This window comes from Homo sapiens, chromosome 2 (assembly GCF_000001405.40).
Source record: "Homo sapiens chromosome 2, GRCh38.p14 Primary Assembly".
Classification (NCBI taxonomy): domain Eukaryota; kingdom Metazoa; phylum Chordata; class Mammalia; order Primates; family Hominidae; genus Homo; species Homo sapiens.
The window spans coordinates 70127035-70147593 of record NC_000002.12 but is presented as its reverse complement, the minus strand read 5'-3'; the positions used below and the strand labels follow the sequence as shown (position 1 = coordinate 70147593).

Sequence of the window (20559 nt, the reverse complement as noted above, 5' to 3'; positions counted from 1 at the left end):
AATTGCGAGTGACAGAAAGCCAGTTAACCAGCTTGGGCAAAATAGGTATGAATGACTGGCTTGTGGACACTAAAGCAGAGCTAGACAACCACACTGGGCTGGAGCTGATGTGGCTGGGCCTCGGGACCTGTGGAGCTAGGGTCCATCTGACCCATTTCTGCCTCTCTCTGGGGCTTCATTTGATCTCAGCACAGAGCAGCTCCCCTAGTAGGAATTCTGGCTCCTGAAGTGCCTGAATGTATGGCTTCCTCACTGGAGCAGGACTCACTGCTCCACTCTCTGATCCAAAAGGCAGAACCCCTCCCAGCCCCCAAAAAGGCACTGATTGGCCTAACAGAGGGGGAGACATTTTTGGTAAGAGAGGTACTATGCCTCTAAAAGAGAAGGAATAACCACATTGTGTTGTCTACCCTCTGGGATTGAGGGGCTGGTTTGTGTCAGCTCCTAAGTGCGTCAGACAATAGGGAAAATTGTTGAGAATCCAGGGAGGTGCACAGAGACCTAGAACTTGAATTGGGCTTCAAAGGAGAGGAAGGGTTTGGATAGGTGGAGAAGATAAAACTAGATGAGGCATGCCCGGCACAGTGGCTCATGCCTGTAATCCCAGCACTTTGGGAGGCTGAGGTGGGCAGATCACAAGATCAAGAGATTGAGACCATCCTGGCCAACATGGTGAAACCCCGTCTCTACTAAAAATACAAAAATTAGCCAGGCGTGTTGGCGCGTGCCTGTAGTCCCAGCTACTCGGGAGGCTGAGGCAGGAGAATCGCTTGAACCTGGGAGGCAGAGGTTGCAGTGAGCCAAGATCGCACCACTGCACTCCACCCTGGCCATAGAGGCGAGACTCATCTCAAAAAAAAAAAAAAACAAACAAACAAAAACTAGATAAGGCAGAGGCTTGCCTGAAGAGCAGGAACACCCAAGGAAAGACCGTGGTTGGCCATCCTGAGAAATCCTTCAACCTGAAAACTTGGAGGACATCAGTCACAGCTTTTTCACAAAACACACCTGTGGGTGACAGGCAGATGCCTGCTCTAGTAATACCTGAATGACTCAGAAGAACCACAGGGGCCACAAAACACACGGGTGGAGCAAATCATCCACCCAAAGAGGACTCTGCTCAAGCAGTCAGATCTTCCCCCCAGCACCACTCCAGGACACTATCACAGCCCATCACAATCTGGAATGGAGTTCAGAGTCACCCCTTTTTTTCTAACTTGACACCCCCTCTACCAAGTCAAGCACGGGCCTAGGAGGACCAGCAGAACTGCTGCACCCACTCCCAGCCTCCAGACACCTCTGGGACAACATCAGTGTTGATCTCATTTCGGGCCTGCCCCACTCTCTCCCAGAGTCGTCCTAGATACTCCCACAGCAGCACTCCTCAAACCCCGCATCCACCTACCTCCCCACCCATACACATTCCCACGTGTACTGTCCATTGCACCCCTCCTCCATCAGTCAATGGGATCTCTAAGGACTGCCCAGGTGCTGCCTCTCCAAGCTAAGCCACCATTTGTATTCTGGAGAGAACAGCTTAAAACCCTCCATACCCACACGGCCTCCTGTCTACCGCACAGACTGATCATTCTCAGACTAAGTGTATCAATAGGTCTGAGAGGGATGCCTTCTTAACTCTTCCTCCTCCAGGCAACATGGCTGGGGCCCCTGACATCCTCATGAGAACAACAACTTGCTACTCCTCCACTCAGAACACTCTGGTTCTAATCTACTATGGCCCTGCCTCTACCAGTACTACTGTTGTCTCAACAGATTGCTTATATATATATATAAAACAGATTGCATATATATATACAAATTTTTTTCTTTTTTGAGATGGAGTCCCGCTCTGTCACCTAGGCTGGAGTGCAGTGGCGCAATCTCGGCTCACTACAACCTCCGCCTCCCGGATTCAAGCAATTCTTCTGCCCCAGCCTCCCGAGTAGTTGGGATTACAGGCATGCGCCACCACACCCAGCTAATTTTTGTATTTTTAGTAGAGATGGGGTTTCACCGTGTTGGCCAGGCTGGTCTTGAACTCCTGACCTCAGGTGATCCACCTGCCTCGACCTCCCAAAGTGTGCTGGGATTACAGGCGTGAGTCACGGCGCCCAGCCAGATTGCTAATATTTAGAAGCTACTTGGGGACCTCCAAACTCTAACTCCAAGAACTATCCACCCAAGAGATCTGTAGGCCTGCCACCTGACTTTCAAGGTACCAGATGTCATCAGCCCTGTGGCTTTGTGGGCCCACTAATTCCCAATCACCTAAATTCACCCCATCTTTCAGTGACTGCTGTCCTGGGTTGGTGCCAATGCCCTGCCCTTCCCTCCAGCCCACATGTGCATACACAAGCGCACACCATACATACTCCAGCCCTCATCCAACAGACACTGTTCTGTCAGAACCTCAGCCAGCTCCTCCTATCCCTGGTTCTCCCCTGTCCAAAAACGCCCAGAATATGCCCTCAGCTAGAAGAACCCAGAGAAATCTCACTATACCCTGCTGGAGGGGATGGGCAGGGGCTGCTCTCCCTAAGCTCTGTGAATTATAATAACTAGACCCTGTAAGTCACAGACAACACAAAAAAATCACCCACAGGGGGGCAGCCCTTTGTCTATTAGTGAATTTTCTCAAGAGATCTGCTTACCTGCTTCACCTATTTCTTCTTCCTTTAGCTCCCAGATTCTGATTTCCTGGTTTTCCTTTGTGGCAGATCATATTTTCTGACACTCGTAGGAATTTTTTTTTTTTTTTGAGACGCAGTTTCGCTCTTGTTGCCCAGACTGGAGTGCAATGGCATGATCTCGGCTCACCATAACCTCCACCTGCCGGGTTCAAGCAGTTCTCCTGCCTCGGCCTCACCAGTAGCTGGGATTACAGGCATGCGCCACCCATGCCCGGCTAATTGTGTATTTTTAGTAGAGACGGGGTTTCTCCCTGTTGGTCAGCCTGGTCTCGAAGTCCCGACCTCAGGTGATCCGCCTGCTTTGGCCTCCCAAAGCGCAGCGATTGCAGGCGTAAGCCACCGCGCCCAGCCTTGATTTTTTTTTAATCCTCCTTACCGACCTTGCTCCCTGCCTGCCTGTCTTCCCATCATCCAGTTCTGCAAGCGCCCTTCGCATCTACCATCCCACCTGCTGTACCAAGCGAGCAGGACGACTTACTTTATTTACAACAGCACTTCTCAAACTTCAATGTGCACAGGAATCACCCAGGGACCTAGTTAAAATGCGTATTTTGATGTAGAAGCTTTATTTTTTAAATTTTTTGAGACAGAGTTTCAAAAACGTGGGGGGAAAAGGGAAAAGATAGGTAGAAAATGATTCTTAGCACCCCCAAGCATCTTTAACCTTTCATTATGTTTACTTCCAGCCTTTTTCATGAAACAAAATTGTGGTCTGACTGTATACAGTGGTATTAACTACAAAGGTTCCTAAGAAGGGACATCTTGGTTGCCCAGGCTGGAGTGCAACGGAACAGTTTTGGCTCAATGCAACCTCTGCCTCCCGGGTTCAAGCGATCCTCCTGTCTCAGCCTCCCAAGTAGCTGGGATTACAGGCGCCCGCCACCATGCCCGGCTAATTTTTGTACTTTTAGTAGAGATGGGGTTTAGTAGAGACGGGGCCAACATGTTGGCCAGGGTGGTCTCAAAACTCCTGACCTCAGGTGATCCACCCACCTTGGCCTCCCAAAGTGCTGGGATTACAAGCATGAGGCATCGCATGCCGCCCGATTCAGAAGCTTTAAAGTGTGGTCCAAGATTCTGCATTTCCATCAAGCTTCCAAGTGATGCGGAAAGTGCTGGACAGCAGGGAGGCTGCTGGCCTGCAGACTGCACCAGACTGCACTTGGAGTAGCAGGTCTAATGCCTGATACAGTCCTGTAACGTCCCTCCCACCTTTCACTGTCACTCATGGGGAGGGCAGTGCTGGAGATGGGTGGAACTTAACAACTAGTGGCCAGGGCCATGTACCAGTGTCAGCTTTGTGCCACTCTCTCACCAAACTGCTCCAACTGCTGGGGCACTAACCTTGTTCCTTAGAACTAGTTCCCCACTCAGCAGTTCCAGAAGTACAAAGTGGGTTCTGTAGTTCTGTGAATTCCCTGCACAACTTTTCACTGTCTTCCCCACTCCCACCATCTTGCAGGTTCACAGTTTAGAGCCTGGGTTTGAAACCCCAGTCTGCCACTCTTTTATGCGCGGCCTTGGGCATGACTCTGAGCCCGTTTCCTCCGGATGATGTGAACAGTGATTAGATACCGTGGACGAATCACTCATTTTGTCCATTGTTTGAACTTTTCCTCTTCTACCTGTTCCTCTAAATTAGCCTTGAAGCTAAAAGGTGCTTTTTGTCCCTTCTTAGGAATCTTTGTAGTTAATACCACTGTATACAGTCAGACCACAATTTTGTTTCATGAAAAAGGCTGGAAGTAAACATAATGAAAGGTTAAAGATGCTTGGGGATGCTAAGAATCATTTTCTACCTATCTTTTCCCTTTTCCCCCCACGTTTTCTATAATTAACAATATTAACTTGATAGGTTTGAAAACAGTCAAAGTAAAATAAACGGCATGAAATCAAGCTTCCACCCGCTCCGCTGAGAGTAGGAGAAGAGAAAGAGAAACGCGCCGACCGCGCCTGGCTGGGGCTGGTCACGCGGCAGCCGCCCCCACGCCTCCGCCAGATGACGTAAGTCACGTTCTCCACTCGCCCGCGCCGCCGCTTCCGGGGGGCTCGGCTGCTTTGCTTCCACCAGGCGGCGCCGCAGGACGCTCAGTTGCCAATGCCTCCTGCGCAGCCGCCCTGGCGCACGGGACACGTCACCACCTTCGCGTCTTTTCTGGAGAGCGCGGGAATGAGAGCGCCGGAGGGTGGTGACGTCACCGGGGTTCCCTGCGTGGCTCGCAGGGGCGGGGCCAGGTACGTGGCGCGCTGCGGCCCGCCCGGGGATCGGGAGGGGAAGGAGAACAGAGAGGGGGAGGGGAAGGAGGGGGAGGGGAAACCAGCGGGACGGGGAGGGGCGAGGTGGGTGGTGCCGATGCCTAGTCTAGCCAGGGCTGACCGGGCCGCGCCCGCCTCGTGACCACTGTGGGGCTGCGCTGCGGGAAAGGTGCTGACGAGGCGGGCGCGCGAGCTCGGCGGGGAGGGGTGCGGCCGGTCGGCGGCTGGCCGGTCCCCGACTTCCCGGCACCCTGGGCGACCGCTCCCTCGTGCGAGCGGGACCACGCCTGGACCGGGGCCCGCAGGTTTTACAGGGCAGCGGGGGGGATTTGGGGCACGTGGGGTCGGGCCGCACCCCGACCTCGAGACGGCGCGGCGCTGCGAGCAAAGAGCCGTCGCGCCCGGAGCCAGGCCCCGCCCTACCTGGGATCCCGTCGCCCTCCCGTCCCCGGGCCTACACCCGCCCCACCTGGGATCCAGTAGCCCTCCCGCCCCCGGGCCTACACCCGCCCCGGTCAGCTCCGGCCAGGTCGGGGAGGAGGAGGGCACGCGCCGGGAGGACCGCGACTGGCCGCCTGGAGCCCGTGGCTCAGGCTTTCCCAGCCGCTGTTTTCCCCTTTGTACATCGGGATCCGCTTCGCACACTTAGTTTCTGCCTAGCACATGCTGGGTGTTGTGTCCAGATACACTAATTCTTTTTCCCCTTCTTCCCCGCCAGTCACTAGAGCCGGTCTGGAAGGGCACTAACGCCTGGGTAGTCCTTCAAACAAAAAGCGTTGTGTGTCTTGCTTACTGGCCGTTAATAGAAGTTTCCCCTTGAGAGTGGCTTTGGTTAGGAAAAAGGTGGCAAAGGGCCCATCCCTGAACTGATTAGTTGAGCCTGGGACCTGATCAGAATTGAGGGGAGGAGTGTTACCAGAATTTTCTCTGTGCCCCGCACTTGCATAAGTGCTTATGGCTAGGAGCCCTGTGTAGGGCACACATTACCTTGGGGCGCCCTTCGCTTCTTTCTCCTCTTGCTGCCCCTTCCCGGAATCTCTCACCTCATGACGTGACTATGGTCAAGTCATCGTTTCTGGGATGGCCTGACCCCTGGGGACACGCCAGCCTCCAGGAGCTTATATGAGGCTGGTTTACCAGAGTAGACAGTGTAAGGCCCTGTCCTGGAAGGAGGAACATGAATATGTCCTGAAGTGCTTGTGTCATGTGTCAGGGGTTGTGCTAGGCTTTTCACATGAGTGATCTCATTTGATTCCCACAGCGGTCCTGTGAGCTAGGGGGAATCATCATCCCTCTATGTAGTTGAGGAAACTGGTTCCGCCGGTTTAAGCAACTTACCTCACATTTCACAGTAGGGAGGTGATGGTTGTAGGGCTTTGGCAAGAAAGTGTCAGTACCTGGTCAGGCCCCTAGGGTGTGAGACGCTCAGGGCCATCCTGGAGGGTATGGGTGAAAGCATGTAACACCGTGGGTTTCCCCCCCTCTGTCACCCCATTCTCTTGGCCACCGCTACCATTTATATCAAGGCAAAACCAGGTTAGGTGGCAGATGGATAGTGTTCGAGGCAGAAGAAGCCCCAGAGGGCAAAGACAGGGCAATTCCTTCTACCCCTCACCCCACACACACTTTGCTTTGGTCATGGATGGGTTAATGGAAGGACTCCTGTGTATCAGACTTGGGTCTTTTTTAGCACCATCTGGCAGAAGTCACCTCTCCTCACACTTGCTGCTTCTACAAAACATTGTTCACTTGGCAGTCAGCAGTGCAAAAGGCAGAAGTGTGGTGCGTGTGTGATTTGGATTCAGTGGACCCCAGAGACAATTGTGTTGTTTGCATTATGTTGCGATTGACAGCCCATAGACACTGCTGTGTTGTATGTGGAACCACAAAAGACGAGAAAGGCAACAAAAGCAGACGTTCCCTCTCCTTTTAAAATTATCTTGTCGCTGGGCACGGTGTCTCATGCCTGTAATCCCAGCACTTTGGGAGGCCGAGGCAGACGGATCACGAGGTCAAGATCGAGACCATCCTGGCAAACATAATGAAACCCCGTCTCTACTGAAAATACAAAAATCAGCTGGACGTGGTGGCGCGTGCCTGTAGTCCCAGCTATTCAGGAGGCTGAGGCAGGAGAATCGCTTGAACCAGGGAGGCGGAGATTACAGTGAGCCGAGATTGCGCCACTGCACTGCAGCCTGGCAACAGAGCGAGACTCTGTCTCCAAAAAAAAAAAAACAACTTGCCTGCAGGATTGGATAGAGAAATTCCCAGGAGAAAGCAAACAAATAAGGGTGCAGGCATTTGTCCTTCAAAACAGGCGGGCAGATCACAAGGTCAGGAGCCAAGACCACGCCATTGCCCTCCATCTTGGGCGAGTGAGACTCCGTCTCAAATAAAACAAACAAAAAATCCCCAGGGCTTTGTAGGTAGACGCTTTTTGGCTTTGAACAAGGCAGGTAGCTTCAGTGTTTCAGATCAAGGAGTGGATGTAGGTTGAAGTGGGCAAATCACTTGAGGTCAGAAGTTTGAGACCAGCGTGGCCAACATGGTGAAACCCTGTCTTTACTAAGAATAAAAACATTAGCTGGGTGTGGTGGCACACACTTGTAATCCCAACTACTCCGGAGGCTGAGGTGGGAGGATGGAGGATTGCTCGAACCGGAAGGCGGGGGTTGCAGTGAGCCAAGATCGCACCACTGCACTCCAGCCTGAGCAACAGAGCAGGACTCCATCTCAGAAAAAAAAAAACAAAAACGAGTGGTTGAGCCTGATTGACCCAGGGACACGTTTTGTTTGTTTGTTTGTTTTTTGTTTTGTTTTGTTTTGTTTTAGATCAAGGACCCTCTCTGTTGCCCAGGCTAAGTGCAGTCGCACAATTATAGCTCAGTTAACCTCAAACTCCTGGGGTCAAGCCACCATCCCACCTCAGCGTCCTGAGTAGCTAGGACCACAACAAGCACATGCCACGGCGCCCGGCTAATTTTTAAAATTTTCTGTAGAGATGGGGTCTCGATACGCTACCCAGCCTGGTCTGGAATTCTTGGCCTTGAGTGATCCTCTCGCCTCAGCCTCCCAAAGCACTAGGATTACAGGCATGAGCCACAGCACCTGGCCCAGGGACACTTTAAACAGGGAGTGAGGCCAGGGGAGGTGGCTCATGCCTGTAATCCCAGCAATTTGGGAGGCTGAGGTGGGAGGATCCCTTGAACCCAGGAGTTCCAGACCAGCCTGGGCAACATGGTGAAACCCCATCTCTATTAAAAAAAGAAAAAAAAAAAAACCACTAGTCAGCGTTGTGATGCACGCTTGTAGTCCTAGCTATCTGGGAGGCTGAGGGTAGGACGAAAGCTTGAGCCCTGGAGATTAAGGCTGCAGTGAGCTGTGATCACACTCCAGCCTGGGCGTCGGAGAGAGACCCTGTCTCTTAAAAAAAACTGTGGGCGGAGTGAGTTTTTCTATTTCTTTCTTTGCTGACAAAGCGGCCCTTTCTGTCACAACATACTTATTGAAACCTGCTGGCCGGGCGGGGTGGCTCACGCCTGTAATCCCAGCACTTTGGGGGGCCGAGGCGGGTGGACCACCTGAGGTCAGGAGTACGAGACCAGCCTCAACATGGAGAAACCCCATCTCTACTAAAAATACAAAATTAAGGCTGGGCGCGGTGGCTCACGCCTGTAATCCCAGCACTTTGGGAGGCCGAGGCGGGCAGATCATGAGGTCAGGAGTTCTAGACCAGCCTGACCGACATGGTGAAACCCCGTCTCTACTAAAAATGCAAAAATGAGCTGGGCATGGAGGCACACGGCTGTAATCCCAGCTACTCGGGAGGCTGGGGCAGGAGAATCACTTGAACCTGGGAGGCGGAGGTTGCAGTGAGCCGAGACTGCGCCACTGCACTACAGCCTGGGCGACAGGGCAAGACTCCGTCTCAAAAAAACAAAAAAACAAAATTAGCTGGGCATGGTGGTGCATGCCTGTAATCCCAGCTACTCGGGAGGCTGAGGCAGGAGAATTGCTTGAACCTGGGAGGCAGAGGTTGCGGTGAGCCGAGATTGTGCCATTGCACTCCAGCCTGGGCAACAAGAGCGAAACTCCATCTCAAAAAAAAAAAAGAAAAAAGAAACCTGCAAGGCATGGGCCCTCGGGAGCTTATAGTCTAATAGGAGAGGGGCTGGAAAGTGGTTGTAATTTAGGTGAAGTTTAATCAATTGGGTTATAAACCAGTTTGGCAAACTTAACAGGAGGGGTTTGGCCATCCTTGAAAGTACCTGTGCTTCCAAGTACAGCCCTGGCAGGACCCAAGGCTAGTGGGAGACCAGGTAAGCTCCGTGAGTTCCTTGGTCAGGCTGCTGCTCCTGTTGCAGGAAAGAGGATCTTCTGCCTTAAAAAGTGAGACCTGACTTTAGGTTGGTTACTTTTGTTCTAAGTCTGCATTTTACTAAGCAATCCTTAGCCCATGGGGACATCGGCCAGTCAGGCCAGTTCAAGCGTTGCAGTCCATTTTGAATATCTGTCATTCCTCAGTGTGAGTAAATTGGCATTTGATTTATATGTCCCTCAACATTATGTGAACTCTCTAGGTGTTTGAGAGATGAGTCCCCTCGTACTGGGCCAGCCTGAAAGTGTAAGTCCCACATCTGGGTCCTTGTTTAAATTCCGCGAGGTAAGAAGTGAGGAGCTGCTGGAAAGAGGGGAAGGGGTTGGTGCAGGAAGCCAGCTTTGCTCACATTCAGGAGAATTATATTATCCACACAAGGCAGAAAGTGCTAAATTGTAGATGAATGATACATGCACTGGATGCTGTGAGTTCAGAAGAAGGTGAGATCACTGTGGGAGGTTAAGGGATGGTGCCACAGAGGAGGTGAGTAGGACTTGCAAAATGTTTGTGCTATCAGTAGATGGAGATGCAGGAGATGGAGAGGAACTACCCACTGTTTTGGTGGTTCGCCTCCACAGCTTACACAGAACATACAGTCATCTGATCTCTTAGGGACTGAGCCAATGGAAAGACATTGTGGCAGGAGAGGGAAGTGGTAGGCCTCAGACAAGGAAGGAAAAATCAACTATTTATTCACCAATTTATTTGTTCAACCTTTATTGAGTATTTTTTATGTGCCAGGCACTGAGCTGGGCCTGGGAATACAGCAATATACAAAACAAACAAAAGCCCTGCCCTCAAAAAGTTTACATTCTTTTTTTTTTTTTTTTTTTTTTTGAGATGGAGTCTGGTTCTGTCACCCAGGCTGGAGTGCAGTGGCGCAATCTCGGCTCACTGCAGCCTACAGGCATGCACCACCATGCCTGGCTAATTTTTTTTGTATTTTTAGTAGAGATGGGGTTTCACCATGTTGGCCAGAGGCTGTTCTTGAACTCCTGACCTTAAGTGATCTGCCAGCCTCGGCCTCCAAAAGTGCTGGGATTACAGGTGTGAGCCACCATGTCTGGCCAAAAGTTTACATTCCAGTGAGGAAAGAGAGAGAGACAAACAATGAATGAATGATGAACAAATGAATAAGCTATCTAGTATGTCGATAGTGACAAGTGCTACGGAGAAAATTAAAACAAGGGGGCCAGGCACGGTGGCTCACGCCTGTAATCCCAGCACTTTGGGAGGCTGAGGCTGGCAGATCACGAGGTCAGGAGATCAAGACCATCTTTGCCAACATGGTGAAACCCCGTCTCTACTAAAATACAAAAAATTAGCCGGGGGTAGTGATGGGTGCCTGTAATCCCAGCGACTTGGGAGGCTGAGGCAGGGGAATTGCTTGAACCCGGGTGGCGGAGGTTGTAGTGAATTGATATTGTGCCACCGCACTCCAGCCTGGTGACAGAGCAAGAGTCTGTCTCAAAAAAAAAAATTAATAAAAAAAACAAGGGGTGGGAGGCAGGAGGAAGTACAGAGGTTTTCCTCTAAATTTTAAATAAATTTTGTGGAAGTGAGTGATATAAAGGTAAAAGGGGGCCAGACGCGATGGCTCGCGCCTGTAATTCCAGCACTTTGGGAGGCTGAGGCGGGTGGATCACCTTAGGTCAGGAGTTAGAGACCAGTCTGGCCAACATGGTGAAACCCCGTCTCTACTAAAAATACAAAACTTAGCCAGGCGTGATGGCGGGTGCCTGTAATCCCAGCTCCTCAGTAGGCTGAGGCAGGCGAATCGTTTGAACCCGGGAGGCGGAGGTTGCGGTGAGCCGAGATCATGCCATTGCACTCCAGCCTGGGCAACAAGAGCGAAACTCCATCTCAAAAAAAAAAAAAAAAAAAAAGTAAAAGGGACACAAAATCTTTGTGATCATTTTCTGTGAGTTGGGGTAGCTAACTGACCAGGTTGTGTCCCAGGAGATAAGGCGTGTTTGTGAATATGACTCACTCCCTGGGGAAAAATAAGCCAAGATCTCCAAAAGAGAAAGCCAGAAAAGCCAGTTGCAATGATAGATGAAAATGGAATTTTACCCTAGACCCCAAATATAAACACTATATAGTTCTAAGAAAATAACAGTGTTGATGTGGTGAGATGTGATAGATCTAAGTGCAGAAGAGGAAGGAGCTGAAGACTCACTTTCTCGGCTCCTTTTCCTGCCCAGGGGGTGGAGGCTGGGCAGGGGGGAGGGGAGGAATCCAGGTCATGAGATGGGTGTGGCTGTGGAATCTGTGGAGACCACGTGTATTTCCTCAGGAGATTCCCTGTTCACAGATACAGGCATGAGCCTGGAGGGACTGCAAGTTGTGGTCTCAGGGTGACCACCTAGCTCTCCACGGCACTATTTTTTGAACCAAGAGTTTCAGAGCTATAAAGTTTATCATGCCAGAGATGAAATCGGAACACACAAAAAATTGGCATTCTGAAGACATTTTGATGGTTTATGAGAATCATGGGATAGAATAGCAGAAGGAAATAAAAGTTTGTGGTTGAGGGCAGGATGCGGTGGCTCACGCCTGTAATCCCAGCACTTTGGGAGGCCGAGGTGGGTGGATCACGAGGTCAGGAGACTGAGACCATCCTGGCTAACGTGGTGAAACCCCATCTCTACTAAAAATACAAAAAAATTAGCCGGGTGTGGTGGCGGGCAACTATAGTCCCAGCTGCTCGGGAGGCTGAGGCAGGAGGATGGTGTGAACCTGGCAGGCGGAGCTTGCAGTGAGCCGAGACTGCGCCACTGCTCTCCAGCCTGGGGGACAGCATGAGACTCTGTCTCAAAAAAAAAAAAAAAAAAAGTTTGTGATTGAGGAGTAAAGATTGAATATGGGATAGTAGGAATACTAGTGTTAACAGATAGTATCCATTGTAACCTGGCTAAGAGAGACAGCAGGCTCCCAAGAATTTGCAGTGGCCAGGCACAGTGGCCCACACCTGTTATTCCAGCACTTTGGAAGGCCAAAGCTGGAGGATTGGTTGAGCCTAGGAGTTCGAGAATAGCCTGGGTAACATAGTAAGACCTTGTCTCTACAAAAAATACAAAAATTAGCTGGGCATGGTGGCGCACGCCAGTAGTACCAGTTACTCGGAATAACAGTACCTGTTATTCCAACACTTTGGAAGGCCAAAGCTGGAGGATTGGTTGAGCCTAGGAGTTCAAGACTAGCCTGAGTAACATAAGACCCTGTCTGTACAAAACATACAAAAATTAACTGGGCATGGTGGCACACGCCAGTAGTACCAGTTACTTGGGAGGCTGAGGAGGGAGGATTGCTTGAGCCCAGGAGGTTGAGACTGCAGTGAGCCGTGATTGCACCACTGCACTCCAGCCTGAGTGACAGAGCAAGACCCTGTCTCAAAAAAAAAAAAAAAAAAAAAAAAATCCGGATGTGGTGGCTCATTTCTGTAATCCCAGCACTTTGGGAGGCGAGGCAGGCAGATCATTTGAGGTTAGGAGTTCGAGACGAGGCTGACCAACATGGTAAAACCCCATGTCTACTAAAAATATTTTAAAAATTAGCCAGGCGTGGTGGCTAATGCCTGTAGTCCCAGCTGCTCAGGAGGCTGAGGCAGATGAATTGCTTGAACCCAGGAGGCGGAAGTTGCAGTGAGCCTAGATCGCACTACTGCATTCCAGCCTGGGCAACCGAGAGACTCCGTCTAAAAAAAAAAAGTGCTCTATAGATGTCTATTGAATGAGTGAATGAATGCATTGATGAATGGATGGGTGGTCTCTCTGATCCTGAGCTTGCCATGACAAGCCTGGAGAACAGACATCTAGCCTATACCCTCCTTTTAATGGATTCCCCTTCATTGTAGGGTTCCCCCAAGGAGACAGCTACTGTTCAAAGTGTAGCCTTATACTGTTCTGCTGAGCTGATCTGCTTACACCTTACACTGTTCAATGGCAGATGGTGAGGCGTGCAGGGCCTATGGGCACTGGGGAATTCAAAGGCAATCTTCAGTCACCAACAAAATAGGGCCTACTACTTACGCGGTAATGCTTGTATACTGAGTTTGTCATGTCCTTATGACAAATTTGGACCAAGGTTGTTGGTCTGAGACAAGACCCAGTCTGCCCAGAAACTGCATGGGGCCTTCCCCAGCCCAGATTCCTTCAGTCATTTCATGCCCCCATGTTCCTGTGATCCTCTTTGCCTGGAAGAAAAACTACCCGTCATCAATGGGAATGGGTGATTTTCTACTTGCTTTTGAGCTCTATTTCATAAGCTGACAGTTTTCTGAGATTCCCAAGGACATAATGAAGCAGTTTCCCATCTGCGGGTTATCTTAATATTTTTAAGTGACAGACCTGTGTTTCAAGCCAGGATGTCCTGACAGGAAACCTGAGTAATATATTGCTCTTTCTTCCTGCTGGTGTGTTTTGGGTGGATGTGTGGGAGCCACAAATGTGTGGTAGCTTCTTGCTGCTTCCAACAGTCTGTGGTGTTCATTATCTTCTGGTTGGGGTTTTCCTTTGAGAATAAGCCAGCAAAGAATGAATGTCGAGGTATGGTTCCTGGTGATGCTGTGCGTGTGTAATGGGGAGTGAGCATGCTGCCTCCACGGAGTCCTCTGCTCCGTGTGCCCAGTGAATTGAACAACGCTCAAGGGAAGACATGTTCTGGCCCAGCATTCTCTGGGGAGTATATGGTATGGTTCTAGACACCTGAATCTCTGCCAAGCTCAGTGTCTCTCAAAATGACTTGCTTTTAGACTCACATTTGATTTTGTAAAATCTTTCACCGAACACACCTGGCAGACATCTCAAATTTCCTGCACATTAGCCAAGGAATTCTAGCTAATGAAAGCTGAAAGCTATGACACTGTTATGACAAAATTAACACCCTGAAAGGCTAATTAATCTTATATGGATTACATTACCTAGAGTTTGAGCTTTGGCCATTATCTTTGCAGTATAAAAGCTATTTCCCCAAAACCTTAAAAAAGAGAGAAAAGAAAGCCATTCCCATAAATCATATTTCCGACACATAGCTCACCATGAAAATGTCCACAACACAGTGATATAACTGATACCTTGCAAATGGCTTTTTAAAAACAAAACAAATTAGGCCAGGCACTAATGACCTGGCTTGATGACCTGAAGGTATCCTAACATGGCTGTTAGAGATTTGAGGGCAGGGGCTGAGTCTCGGTGTTTGTTTCTGTCCCTAGCACAGGGCCTCAGACAGTGATGGATACATATTAGGTGTCGATTAACAGTCACTGAATTACTGAATGGAAATTTACTGGTGCTGACTGCACCACTAGACTCCACACACAAATAGACCTGCCCCGTGGGATTCTTCACAAGAGCAAATATTTTATGAGAGCTGTTACTCCGAGTTGATTGGATGGGCAAAGTGAAACCACAGAATTGGGCTTTAAAACCAAGTGGATTTACTCTGCTAAATTTTACAACTAGGATCTTCTGCTCTGGGTGGAGAGTTGGACAAAATAACTTCGAATTTGAGGTTTGTAGGTTCTATGAAAATACAGGCTTTTTGTTTTGTTTTGTTTTGTGTTTTAAAGACAGATGAACCCAGCAGGCAAGCTGGCAGGAAGTCTGACTGCAGTACTTGCCTGAGAGGATGACACAGGCCAAATGAGAAAAGGAAAACAACAAGGCAGCCAGAGCTAGTAAAGCACTTTGCAAAGTAGCTGCAGAGCTTTCCAGGATTTTCTGGAAAAAGGAAGAAAAGGAGAGTAAAGGGCAGGAAGAGGATTGGTTAACAACTGGATTCAGAAATGCCGATGAGTGGATTTGCCTATCGGTTTTGTTTTTCTAAGTCAGGGATAAGGAAAGAGGGTACACTTGGCCTGGCGCTGCCTGCTGGCAGGGCTTCCTTCCCCAGGCTGTGCTGAAGCCATCCTTAGAGCTGCCAGGGTGTCCTGAGGCCTGCTGCCCTGTGCAACTCACTGGAAAAGAGGACAGACTGCCCTCCAAAGATGTCTAAGGCACATGGTACAGTGGAAGGAAGGGACAGCAGTTTTGTTTAATTTCATGTTGCTTAAAAAAATGTTTATATGCATTTGCTTTTTTGAACAGATAATTTATTTATATGTTTAAAACTAAAAAAAATGAAAAGATGTACATCTCTTCTGTCCCTGTCCCCCAAATGCCCACTTTCCCCCACCCTAAATAGATAACCCTGTTATAAGGTTTTTGTTTATCCTTCTAACGTTGTTTTTCTACACATACAAGCTAAAACAAATCTATACCCTTCCTTACTCCATTTTAACATATTTAGTGCCAGTCTGTACACGTTCTACACGTTTGTTGGGTTTTTCCCCCGCTTTAACACCCTATCTTGGTGACATTTCCTTATCGGTATATGAGAGTATCCTCATTTTTATCTATCTTTGCGGCTGTAGAGTATTACATTGTATGGACTACTATAATTTAACTGGTTCCCATCAAGGGGTGTTTAGATTGTTTCCAGTCTTTTGGCATTACAAATAAAAGCATGGACTTTAGAGACATGTGCTTTCAAACCCCAGTCCCGATGCCTACTAGGTGATTGACAATGGGTCTTAATTGCCTCCTCTGTAAAGAGGAATTTTTTGTTTGTTTGTTTGTTTGAGACAGAGTTTTGCTCTTGTTGCCCAGGATGGAGTTCAGTGGCGCGATCTCAGCTCACTGCAACCCCCGCCTCCTGGGTTCAAGCAATTCTCCAGCCTCAGTCTCCCAAGTGGCTGGGATTACAGGCATGTGCCACCATGCCCGGCTAATTTTGTATTTTTACTAGAGACGGGGTTTCGCCATGTTGGTCAGGCTGGTCTCGAACTGCTGACCTCAGATGATCCACCCGCCTCGGCCTCCCAAAGTGTTGGGATTACAGGCATGAGCCACTGCACCCGGCCAGGAATTATTTTATGTTTATTTCACCTGTCCCTTAACATTGCTGTGAAAGACTCATATAATATACAAAGAACTTGAGAAATCCTAGGTGCTCAGTGGAAACAATATACCTTGCAATGAAGCATATTCAAATTTATTCTTGAAAAAAAGAATACTGATCAGGACCCCTGGCTCATGCCTGTAATCCCCACGCTTTGGGAGGCCAAGGTCTCAAGAAGGACTGCTTGAGACCAGGAATTCAAGACCAGACTGAGCAACAGAACAAGACCCTACCTCTTCAAAAGTAAAAATAAAAAAATTAGCCAGACATGGTGGCACATGCCTATAATCCCAGCTACTTGGGAGGCTGAAGCAGGAGGATCTCTTGAGCCCACTACTGCACTCCAGCCTGGGTGAAAGAGCAAGACCCTGACTCTAAAAAAAAAATGTGTTTGATTATTTTTTGAGACAGTCTTGCTCTGTCACCCAGGCTGGAGTGCAGTGATGCAATCTCGGCTCTCTGCAACCTCCGCCCTCCAGGTTCAAGTGATTCTCCTGCCTCAGCCTCCCGAGTAGCTGGGATTACAAGTGTGCAACACCACGACTGGCTAATTTTTGTATTTTTAGTAGAGACAGGGTTTTGCCAGGAGTTGGAGGTTGCAGTGAGCCGAGATCACGCCACTGCACTCCAGCCTGGGCAACAGAGCAAGACTCCTTCTCAAAAAAAAAAAAAAAATGTGGCCACTGAAAAATTGTTAACATGATTCACTTTATATTGCTATTGACAGCATCTTCTATGCACTTTCCTACATAATCATCCTTCGCTTGGGTGAAGACAGTCCGTGTGATTGCCTGAGTCTTCTCTTCTCCAGTTATATCACACTGCTTGCGCCTTTTATTTTTTATTTTTTTTCAGACGGAGTCTCGCTCTGTTGCCAGGCTGGAGTGCAGTGGCGCAGTCTCGGCTCACTGCAACCTCCGCCTCCCAGGTTCAAGCAATTCTTCTGCCTCAGTCTCCCGAGTAGCTGGTACTACAGGCACGCACCACTATGCCCAGCTGATTTTTGTATTTTTAGTAGAGACGGGGTTTCACCATGTTAGCCAGGATGGTCTCAATCTCTTGACCTTGTGATCCGCCCGCCTCGGCCTCCCAAAGTGCTGGGATTACAGGCGTGAGCCACCACGCCCAGCCTGCTTGCTCCTTTCAAATCTGTTGATATACTGAAACCTCCTGAACTGAGATCATCCCGAGACCTCACTGTCTTGAACATGCTCAGTTCCCTCCACTCTTCCTTACAGATCATTTCTCATAGAACCAAATTTTGTCATCCTTGTTGTCCACATCTCAATATTCTCCAGGTTATGGCTATCTCTATCCCTCCTGCCCTCCAAAATGAGACCACACGCTTGTAATCCCAACACTTTGGGAAGCCAAGGCAGGCAGACTGCTTGAGCCCAGAAGTTGGACACCAGCCTGGGCAATGAAGTGAGACCCCTTCTCTATCAAAAAAAAAGAAAAAGAAAGAAAACAAAATAAATTTTTAAAAAAGGGGAGACAGAATCCTCCAGAGAACCGTTGCAGATGTCCCAGAAAGGTGATGCTCCCAAGTGCACAGGGACAGAAAGTAGAATGGTGGTTGCCAGGAGCTGGGTAGAGGGGAATGAGGGAGGAGTTGTTTCATGGGTACAGAGTTTCAGTTTAGGATGATGGAAGAGTTCTAGAGATGGATGATGGTGGTGAGTGCACAACCACGTGACTATATTTAGTGCCACTAAACTACACTTAAAAAATTGGTTAAAATGGGGCCGGGCGCGGTGGCTCACGCCTGTAATCCCAGCACTTTGGGAGGCCGAGGCGGGCGGATCATGAGGTCAGGAGATCGAGACCATCTTGGCTAACACGGTGAAACCATGTCTCTACTAAAAATACAAAAAAAATTAGCTGGGTATGGTGGCGGGCGCCTGTAGTCCCAGCTACTTGGGAGGCAGAGGCAGGAGAATGGCGTGAACCCGGGAGGTGGAGCTTGCAGTGAGACGAGATTGTGCCACTGCACTCCAGCCTGGGCCACACAGCGAGACTCCGTCTCAAAAAAAAAAAAAAAAAAAAAAATTGGTTAAAATAGGGTGGGTGTGGTGGCTCAAGCCTGTAATCCCAGCACTTTGGGAGGCCGAGGTGGGTGGATCACCTAAGGTCAGGAGTTCGAGACCAGCCTGGCCAACATGGTGAAACCCCGTCTCTACTAAAAAAAAAATACAAAATTATCTGGGCATGGTGGTGGGCAGCTGTCATCCCAGCTACATGGGAGGCTGAGGCAGGATAATCACTTTAACCTGGGAGGCGGAGGTTGCAGTGAGCCGAGATTGCGCCATTGCACTGGGCAACAAGAGTGAAAACTCCATCTTGAATAAAAAAAAAAAGCATTAGTCTCTTCACCCCACTCCCCATCAAGTTTTCCCAGACTGGGCCGGGCGCCATGGCTCACGCCTGTAATCTCAACAATTTGGGAGGCCGAGGCGGGTGGATCACGAGGTCAGGAGATCGAGACCATCCTGGCTAACATGGTGAAACCCCGTCTCTACTAAAAATACAAAAAATTAGCCAGGCATGGTGGCGGGCACCTGTAGTCCCAGCTACTCGGGAGGCCGAGGCAGGAGAATGGTGTGAACCCGGGAGGTGGAGCTTGCAGTGAGCGGAGATCGCACCACTGCACTCTAGCCTGGGTGACAGTGTGAGACTCCGTGTCAAAAAAAAAAAAAGCTTTCCCAAACTGGAAAATGCATGCTGTCTTGCGGCATGGTCCTGGGCATCTGTGAGGGCCTGCACTGACCTCTGAAGTATCTCCATGTCCAAGGGAGTACAACAATAAATAGTAAATAAAAACATCATGACAGGTTGAGAGAGAGACTGTAGAAAAAATGAAAGGGCTTTTTTCATCCTTTTATGAGAAAGGGGCCCATATTTTCATTTTCCCCTGGGCCCCAAAAATTATGTAGCCAATCCTGCTGGCAGATAAAACATTCCTGAAGGAGGTAGCCAGAAGCCTAATAATATTCTGGGGGTATTGTGGCTTAAGTATGTCAGCCCTGTCCAAATGTAGAACAATGCTGGGGGCTATTTCAAGCCACGTGAAATGTCAACACCTGTGGTAAAGGACTATTAGCAAAGCTAATGTGCAGAGTCTGCACACATGACAAGAAAAAAGTCAACTTGCTAGGAGGGGTTTGTTGGCTGTTTAGCTTTATCTGGACAAGGGAAAAAGTGGGTAGAAAAGGCTCTCTGGCTAGTTCCTCCTTGAAGCAAGAACTCAGCTTGTTTCTCTGGATAGTCTGTGGTCAGATATAACAATGGAAACTTCAGGAAATCTTTATTTAAAAAGAGAAGGTATCTCCCCACACCTTCTTCAATATTAGGTGCCACCAAATTCTGGCTGTTGATCTGTTACTCAACAACAACAAAAAATGTCTTTTGTTTATTTTTATGTCTGATTCCAAGGAGAGTTGAACTTATTTAAAGTGGGTCTTTAAAAAAAATCACTTCAGATGTTTGTTTCTTTTGAATTTTCCATTGGTATTCATTTTCTTATTTATTTGCAAGCACTTCCTACATAGCAAGAATAACAACATTTTGTTTTCATGTGTGTTGCAAATAGGTTTTCCCAGTTTGCCTATTGTTTTTTAACCTTGCCCGTTTGGAATAGCTTCAAGCCACATCATCTGATGGGAATGGAGGTCACCCTAACAGTGATACTGCAATGTCACTAATTCAATAACCACCAAATTTACTGCTAATAATCGCCAACATTTACTGAACATGCACCATATGCTTCATGTGCCATTAATCCACAAAATTACCCTATAAAGTAGGTACTATTTTTAGTTTCATTTTGTAGATGAAGAAACAGAAATAGGAGAGGCTAAGTAATGTGCCTAGTTACCCAGCCTAGTAAGGGATGGAATGTGGGGCTTGAACCCAGCCCTGACTCCTAAGTCCAGTTTCCAACCCTGCACTGTCCAATACAGTGACCGCAGGTAGCTATAGAGCACTTCACATGTAGCCAGCCTGATTTCAGAGACCAAGTGTAAAAAAAAGAATGTCAGATATCTCATTATTAAAAAATTTTTTTTTCAACAGGGTCTTGCTTTGTCACCCAGGCTGGAGTGCACTAGTGTGAACACAGCTCACTGCAGCCTCAACTTCCTGGGCTCAAACGATCCTCCCACCTCAGCCTTCTGAGTAGCTGGAATCACAGGTGTGTGCCACCATGCCCAGCCTCTCATTATTAATTTAAAAATTGGCCAGGTGTGATGGCTTACGCCTGTAATCTCAGCACTTTGGGAGGCTGAGGCAGGCAGATCA

General features: G+C 48.8%; 14 annotated features.

Annotated features, from left to right (window-relative positions):
• Nucleotides 1254-1303: an enhancer, noted in NCBI's record as "active region_16000". NCBI's record gives its function as "activates an Ori minimal core promoter by ATAC-STARR-seq in GM12878 lymphoblastoid cells {active_cell/tissue: GM12878}" and the evidence as "EXISTENCE:reporter gene assay evidence [ECO:0000049][PMID:35858748]".
• Nucleotides 3966-4015: a silencer, noted in NCBI's record as "silent region_11608". NCBI's record gives its function as "represses an Ori minimal core promoter by ATAC-STARR-seq in GM12878 lymphoblastoid cells {active_cell/tissue: GM12878}" and the evidence as "EXISTENCE:reporter gene assay evidence [ECO:0000049][PMID:35858748]".
• Nucleotides 4346-4485: an enhancer, noted in NCBI's record as "active region_15999". NCBI's record gives its function as "activates an Ori minimal core promoter by ATAC-STARR-seq in GM12878 lymphoblastoid cells {active_cell/tissue: GM12878}" and the evidence as "EXISTENCE:reporter gene assay evidence [ECO:0000049][PMID:35858748]".
• Nucleotides 4496-4855: an enhancer, noted in NCBI's record as "active region_15998". NCBI's record gives its function as "activates an Ori minimal core promoter by ATAC-STARR-seq in GM12878 lymphoblastoid cells {active_cell/tissue: GM12878}" and the evidence as "EXISTENCE:reporter gene assay evidence [ECO:0000049][PMID:35858748]".
• Nucleotides 4946-5655: a silencer, noted in NCBI's record as "silent region_11607". NCBI's record gives its function as "represses an Ori minimal core promoter by ATAC-STARR-seq in GM12878 lymphoblastoid cells {active_cell/tissue: GM12878}" and the evidence as "EXISTENCE:reporter gene assay evidence [ECO:0000049][PMID:35858748]".
• Nucleotides 6076-6615: an enhancer, noted in NCBI's record as "OCT4-NANOG-H3K27ac-H3K4me1 hESC enhancer chr2:70368111-70368650 (GRCh37/hg19 assembly coordinates)". NCBI's record gives its function as "activates a minimal SCP1, AML or CMV promoter by ChIP-STARR-seq in naive H9 embryonic stem cells {active_cell/tissue: H9 hESC(naive)}" and the evidence as "EXISTENCE:reporter gene assay evidence [ECO:0000049][PMID:30033119]".
• Nucleotides 6143-6437: a silencer, noted in NCBI's record as "tiled region #4230; HepG2 Repressive non-DNase unmatched - State 1:Tss". NCBI's record gives its function as "represses a minimal TATA promoter and a strong SV40 promoter by Sharpr-MPRA in HepG2 cells {active_cell/tissue: HepG2}" and the evidence as "EXISTENCE:reporter gene assay evidence [ECO:0000049][PMID:27701403]".
• Nucleotides 8203-8497: a silencer, noted in NCBI's record as "tiled region #12614; K562 Repressive DNase matched - State 5:Enh". NCBI's record gives its function as "represses a minimal TATA promoter and a strong SV40 promoter by Sharpr-MPRA in K562 cells {active_cell/tissue: K562}" and the evidence as "EXISTENCE:reporter gene assay evidence [ECO:0000049][PMID:27701403]".
• Nucleotides 8203-8781: a biological region, named in NCBI's record as "Sharpr-MPRA regulatory region 12614".
• Nucleotides 8240-8781: an enhancer, noted in NCBI's record as "H3K4me1 hESC enhancer chr2:70365945-70366486 (GRCh37/hg19 assembly coordinates)". NCBI's record gives its function as "activates a minimal SCP1, AML or CMV promoter by ChIP-STARR-seq in primed H9 embryonic stem cells {active_cell/tissue: H9 hESC(primed)}" and the evidence as "EXISTENCE:reporter gene assay evidence [ECO:0000049][PMID:30033119]".
• Nucleotides 8782-9323: an enhancer, noted in NCBI's record as "H3K4me1 hESC enhancer chr2:70365403-70365944 (GRCh37/hg19 assembly coordinates)". NCBI's record gives its function as "activates a minimal SCP1, AML or CMV promoter by ChIP-STARR-seq in primed H9 embryonic stem cells {active_cell/tissue: H9 hESC(primed)}" and the evidence as "EXISTENCE:reporter gene assay evidence [ECO:0000049][PMID:30033119]".
• Nucleotides 11677-11726: an enhancer, noted in NCBI's record as "active region_15997". NCBI's record gives its function as "activates an Ori minimal core promoter by ATAC-STARR-seq in GM12878 lymphoblastoid cells {active_cell/tissue: GM12878}" and the evidence as "EXISTENCE:reporter gene assay evidence [ECO:0000049][PMID:35858748]".
• Nucleotides 11787-11846: an enhancer, noted in NCBI's record as "active region_15996". NCBI's record gives its function as "activates an Ori minimal core promoter by ATAC-STARR-seq in GM12878 lymphoblastoid cells {active_cell/tissue: GM12878}" and the evidence as "EXISTENCE:reporter gene assay evidence [ECO:0000049][PMID:35858748]".
• Nucleotides 13750-14059: an enhancer, noted in NCBI's record as "active region_15995". NCBI's record gives its function as "activates an Ori minimal core promoter by ATAC-STARR-seq in GM12878 lymphoblastoid cells {active_cell/tissue: GM12878}" and the evidence as "EXISTENCE:reporter gene assay evidence [ECO:0000049][PMID:35858748]".